The sequence below is a fragment of the Homo sapiens genome, chromosome 15, assembly GCF_000001405.40.
Source record: "Homo sapiens chromosome 15, GRCh38.p14 Primary Assembly".
Lineage (NCBI taxonomy): Eukaryota > Metazoa > Chordata > Mammalia > Primates > Hominidae > Homo > Homo sapiens.
In genome coordinates this window covers 30,881,157-30,886,760 of record NC_000015.10, presented here as the reverse complement: position 1 = coordinate 30,886,760, position 5,604 = coordinate 30,881,157, and the positions used below count along the sequence as shown (strand labels likewise).

The window sequence follows — 5,604 nt, the reverse complement described above, 5'->3', positions numbered from 1 at the left end:
AGCTGAAACGATTTCTAAGGGAAGTGTTAGTGGAGTGGCTTAATTCTTCCTGACTGCTTATAGTAGAATGCAAGAAGAAAATGCAATTAGTTCCTTTATAAAATGGGCTTAGGCTGGACGCAGTGGCTCACACCTGTAATCCCAACATTTCCGGAGGCCAAGGTGGGTGGATCACCTGAGGTCAGAAGTTTGAGACCAGCCTGGCCAACATGGTGAAACCCTGTCTCTACTAAAAATACAAAATTGGCCGGGCGTGGTGGTGCATGACTGTAATCCCAGCTGCCCTGAAGGCTGAGGCAGGAGAATCACTTAGAACCTGGGAGGCAGAGTTTGCAGTGAGCCAAGATAGTGCCACTGCACTCCAGCCTGAGCGACAGAGGGAGACTGTCTAAAAAAAAAAAAAAAAAAAAAAAAGAGGCTGTGAACCTATGAAATCAAAACAAGTTTAAGTGTTTCCAAAATACCATGGTGAGTCAGTCATAGGACAGACAGTTCCCTTCCAAAAGGGAGAAATGGGAAAGAAGAAATGATGACAGGTTCTGAGCATGTCCAAAATCCAATAGGGAAAATTCCAATAAACCTTTTTGCCTAGCTGCTGTCCTCCAGGCCCACTGGGGTGGGAGTCCCGCATTTTGGACCTACTGAGGTGGTGATCCTGCCTCTGCAGCCTTGCTGGGTAGGAGTTGAGCTCAGAAGGCTCTTGGAGGGTTTGTCCTAAGGGCTCTGGGCAGCCCTGCCACCACAGTGGCTCTCTGCCTGGGCCCATAGCTCTCCAAGGTCCTGAAGGTGCTGGTGGCCTCTCTGAAATAGTGATTTCCTTGGAGCCCTTACACTCTGGGCCTGTGGTGGGAGTGGCAGCCCTGATGACCTCTGAATTATGTGAGAGGGAAGAATCATTTTTCTCTTGTCTTGAAGTACCTTGCTTCTGTGGAGATGGCTGATTAGGTCTGTGGTATGTATTCATACTAATGGTCTTATCGAATGGCTACTTGGCTACACATTTAATGTTCTCTTCCAAACAAACTTTCTCATTTTGGGGAAGATAATTGGCTGAGAATTTTCTAAACCTTAAAGTTATGGTTTCTTTTTGCTTAACAATTTTATCTTCAGATAATTTCTTTATGATAAAAACCCACAAAAACTGGATGTAGACAGAAAACTGGATATAAATAGAATATGCCTCAAAATAATAAAAGCCATATATGACAGAGGTCCACAGCTAGTATTTTACTGAATGGCAAAAAACTGAAAGCCTCTCCTCTAAGATCTGGAACATGACTAGGATGCCCACTCTCACCACCGTTATACAACATACTACTGCAAGTCCTAGCTAGAGCAATCAGACAAGAGATGGAAATTAAGGACATCTAAATTGGAAAGAAAGAAGTCACATTATGCTTGTTTGTGGATGATATGCTCTTATATATGGAAAAACGTAGACTCACCAAAAACCTATTAGAACTGGTAAACAAATTCAGTAATATTTCGTGGTACAAAATCAGCATACAAAAATCAGTAGCATTTCTATATACCAACAGTGAACAATCTGAGAAAGAAATTTAAAAGAATAATTCCACTTACAACAGCCATAAAAATGTTAAACACCTAGGAATTAACCAAATAAGTCAAAGATATCTACAGTGAAAATGTGTCTGGAATTGGTGGGTTCTTGGTCTCACTGACTTCAAGAATGAAGCCGTGGACCCTCGCAGTGAGTGTTACAGCTCTTAAGGTGGCGTGTCTGGAGTCTGTCCCTTCTGATGTTCAGATGTGTTCGGAGTTTCTTCCTTCTGGTGGGTTCGTGGTCTCGCTGGCTCAGGAGTGAAGCTGCAGACCTTTGCGGTGAGTGTTACAGCTCTTAAGGTAGCGCGTCTGGAGTTGTTCGTTCCTCCCCGTGGGCTCGTGGTCTCGCTGGGCTCAGGAATGAAGCTGCAGATCTTCATGGTGAGTGTTACAGCTCATAAAAGCAGCGTGGACCCAAACAGTGAGCAGTAGCAAGATTTATTGCGAAGAGCGAAAGAACAAAGCTTCCACAGTGTGGAAGGGGACCCGAGAGGGTTGCCAATGCTGGCTCGGGCAGCCTGCTTTTATTCTCTTATCTGGCCCCACCCGCATCCTGCTGATTGGTAGAGCGAGTGGCCTGTTTTGTCAGGGCGCTGATTGGTGCATTTACAATCCCTGAGCTAGATACAAAGGTTCTCCACGTCCCCATCAGATTAGATACAGAGTTTCCACACACGGGTTCTCCAAGGCCCCACCAGAGCAGCTAGATACAGAGTGTCGATTGGTGCACTCACAAACCTTGAGCTAAACATAGGGTGCTGATTGGTGTGTTTACAAACCTTGAGCTAGATACAGAGTGCCGATTAGTGTATTTACAATCCTTGAGCTAGAAATAAAGGTTCTCCACGTCCTCACCAGAGCAGCTAGATAGTGTCGATTGGTGCACTCACAAACCTTGAGCTAAACACAGGGTGCTGATTGGTGTATTTACAATCCCTGAGCTAGATATAAAGACTCTCCACGTGCCCACCAGACTCAGGAGCCCAGCTGGCTTCACCTAGTGGATCCCGCACCGGGGCTGCAGGTGGAGCTGCCTGCCAGTCCTGCGCCGTGCGCTCGCATTCCTCAGCCCTTGGGTGGTCGATGGGACTGGGAGCCGTGGAGCAGGGGGTGGTGCTCGTCGGGGAGGCTCGGGCCGCACAGGAGCCCATGGAGTGGGTGGGAGGCTCAGGCATGGGGGGCTGCAGGTCCCGAGCCCTGCCCCGTGGGAAGGCAGCCAAGGCCTGAAGAGAAATCGAGCGCAGCGCCGGTGGGCCAGCACTGCTGGGGGACTCAGTACACCCTCCGCAGCCACTGGCCAGGGTGCTAAGTCCCCCACTGCCCGGGGCCAGCAGGGCTGGCTGGCTGCTCCGAGTGCGGGGCCCACCAAGCCCATGCCCACCCGGAACTCCAGCTGGCCCACAAGTGCCGCACACAGCCCCGGTTCCCGCTCGTGCCTCTCCCTCCACACCTCCCTGCAAGCTGAGGGAGTGGGCTCCGGCCTTGGCCACCCCAGAAAGGGGCTCCCACAGTGCAGTGGGGGACTGAAGGGCTCCTCAAATGCCACCAAAGTGGGAGCCTAGGCAGGGGAGGTGCCGAGAGCAAGCAAGGGCTCTGAGGACTGCCAGCACGCTGTCACCTCTCAAAAACTATAAAATACTGATGAAAGAAATTGAAGAGGACAACAAAAAATGGAAATATATTCCTTGTTAATAGACTGGCAGAATCCATATTGTTAAAATATCAGTACTACCCAAAGCAATCTAGAAATTCAGTGCAATTCCTATCAAAGTACCAATGACATCCTTCACATAAATGGGAAAAAAGTCTTAAAATTTATATGGAACCACAAAAGACTCAAAACAGCCAGTTATTTCAGCAAAAAGAACAACAGTGGGCGAGAGTTAGCGGCCTCCGGTGCGGGATGCCCGCGGAGCCTGGTGGAGCTGGCCTGCGGCTCCTGGGACCCGCTCTCCAGGCCACAGACGTGGCCCAGGGGCCCAGCCCACTAGGCAGGCCTCGCCCAGACACGATTGCCCTGCCCAAGAGGGGAAAGCGACTCAAGTCGCTCCTCTGCTCCAGCCGAGTGACTGTGGAGGATTACGCCAACTCGGATCTGGCGGTCGTGAGGTCTGGATGAGTCAAGAAAGCCGCAGCCAATGCTGTTCAGCAGGAAGTAAAATCTCTTTGAAGCTTGGAAGCCTCTCAGGTTCCTGCAGAGGAAGCTCATTCTGGGGCTCGTGAGCCCTGTGACATCATCGACAGCAGTGATGAGACTGATGCCCAGGAGGAAAGCATCCATGAGAGAACTGTCTCCAGAAAAATGAAAAGCAAGAGGCACAAAGAAGAACTGGACGGGGCTGGAGGAAAAGAGTATCCCATGGATATTTGGCTATTGCTGACCTCCTATATCCGTTGTGAGGACATTGTGGTCTGATCTCTGTACCATATGTATGAGCCATTTGCTGCTGGAATCTCCAAGAATCCAGCCATTCCAGAAAGCACCCCCAGCACATTAAAGAATTCCAAATGCTTACTTTTCTGGTGCAGAAAGATTATTGGGAACAGACAGGAACCAATGCGGGAATTCAACTTCAAGTTCAAAAAACAGTCCGCTAGGTTAAAGAGCAAGTGTACAGGAGGATTGCAGCTTCCCATCCAGTACGAAGATGTTCATACCAATGGAGACCAGGACTGCTGCCTACTGCAGGTCACCACCCTCAATTTCATCTTTATTCCGATTGTCATGGGAATGATATTTACTCTGTTTACTGTCAATGCGAGCACGGACACGCGGCATCATCGAGTGAGACTGGTGTTCCAAGATTCCCCTGTTCATGGTGGTCAGAAACTGTGCAGTGAACAGGGTGTGCAAGTCATGCTGGACCCAGTGCACAGCGTTTGGCTTTTTGACTGGTGGCTTCCTCAGTACCCATTCTCCCTGACAGCATAGTTACTGCTTCCCATCCCTTGGGGCCAGCCCCAAGTCTAAGTCCATTAGTAATCAGATTCCAGTTTGGACAGGGTGGGTGGATTGTGTATCTGGTTAGTAATGTACATGCTCTTCAGGTTCTAGGGCTCCTGTTAGGGGAGGAAGAAATGTTGAATCAAGAGGAAAAAGAACTACTATGATTTATAAACATATTTTAATGTAAAAATTTGCATTTAAAAGGAGTGGCCCTGTTTTCTGTGTTAAAACCCCATTTGGTGCTATTGAGTTTGTTCTTTATTCTTTTATCCCAGTGAAAATTGTTGATCTTGCTCTAGGGAAAAATTAAACTCTTTGAATCTCCAAACAAGAGAGAAAAAAAAAAAAAAAAACAACAACAGTGGAGGAATCACATTACCTGACTTCAAAGAGCTACAGTAACCAAAACAGCACGGTACCGGCATAAGAACAGACACAGACCAATGGAACAGAATAGAGAACCCAGAAACAAATGTAAACACCTACAGTGAACTCATTTTTGACAAAAGTGCCAAGATCACACACTGGGGAAAAGACAATTTCTTCAATAAATGGTGCTAGGAAAAGTGGCTATCTGTATGTAGAAGAATAAAACTAGACCCCTATCTCCTGCCATATATAAAAATCAAATTAAAATCAATTAAAGACCTTAATACATCAAACTATGCAACTCCTACTAGAAAACATTAGGGGAACTATCCAGGACATTGGTCTGGGCAAATATTTCTTGAGTAATACCCCACAAGTACAGATAACCAAAATAAAATGGAAAAAATGGGATCACATCAAGTTAAAAAGCTTCTGTACAACAAAGGAAACAAATGACAAAGTGAAGAGACAACACATAGAATGGGAGAAAATATTTGCAAACTACATATATGACAAGGGATTAATGACCAGAACATGTAACAAGCTCTAATAACTCTATAGGAAAAAATCTAATAAACTGATTAAAAATGGGCAAAATTTTTATTTGAATAAGCATTTTTCAAAAAAAGACATACAAATCACCAACAGGCATGTGAAAAGGTGCTCAACATTACTGATCATCAGAGAAATGTAAATGAAAACTACAATGAGATATTATCTCACCC

The 5,604-nt window shown here is 46.5% G+C and overlaps 1 pseudogene, besides 1 other annotated feature; it reads left to right on the top strand.

Moving 5' to 3' along the window:
* Positions 668-868: a silencer, noted in NCBI's record as "peak2285 fragment used in MPRA reporter construct". NCBI's record gives its function as "represses an SCP1 promoter by STARR-seq MPRAs in K562 erythroleukemia cells {active_cell/tissue: K562}" and the evidence as "EXISTENCE:reporter gene assay evidence [ECO:0000049][PMID:32103011]".
* On the top strand, positions 3,440-4,842 carry TMEM183AP3 (TMEM183A pseudogene 3; annotated as a pseudogene).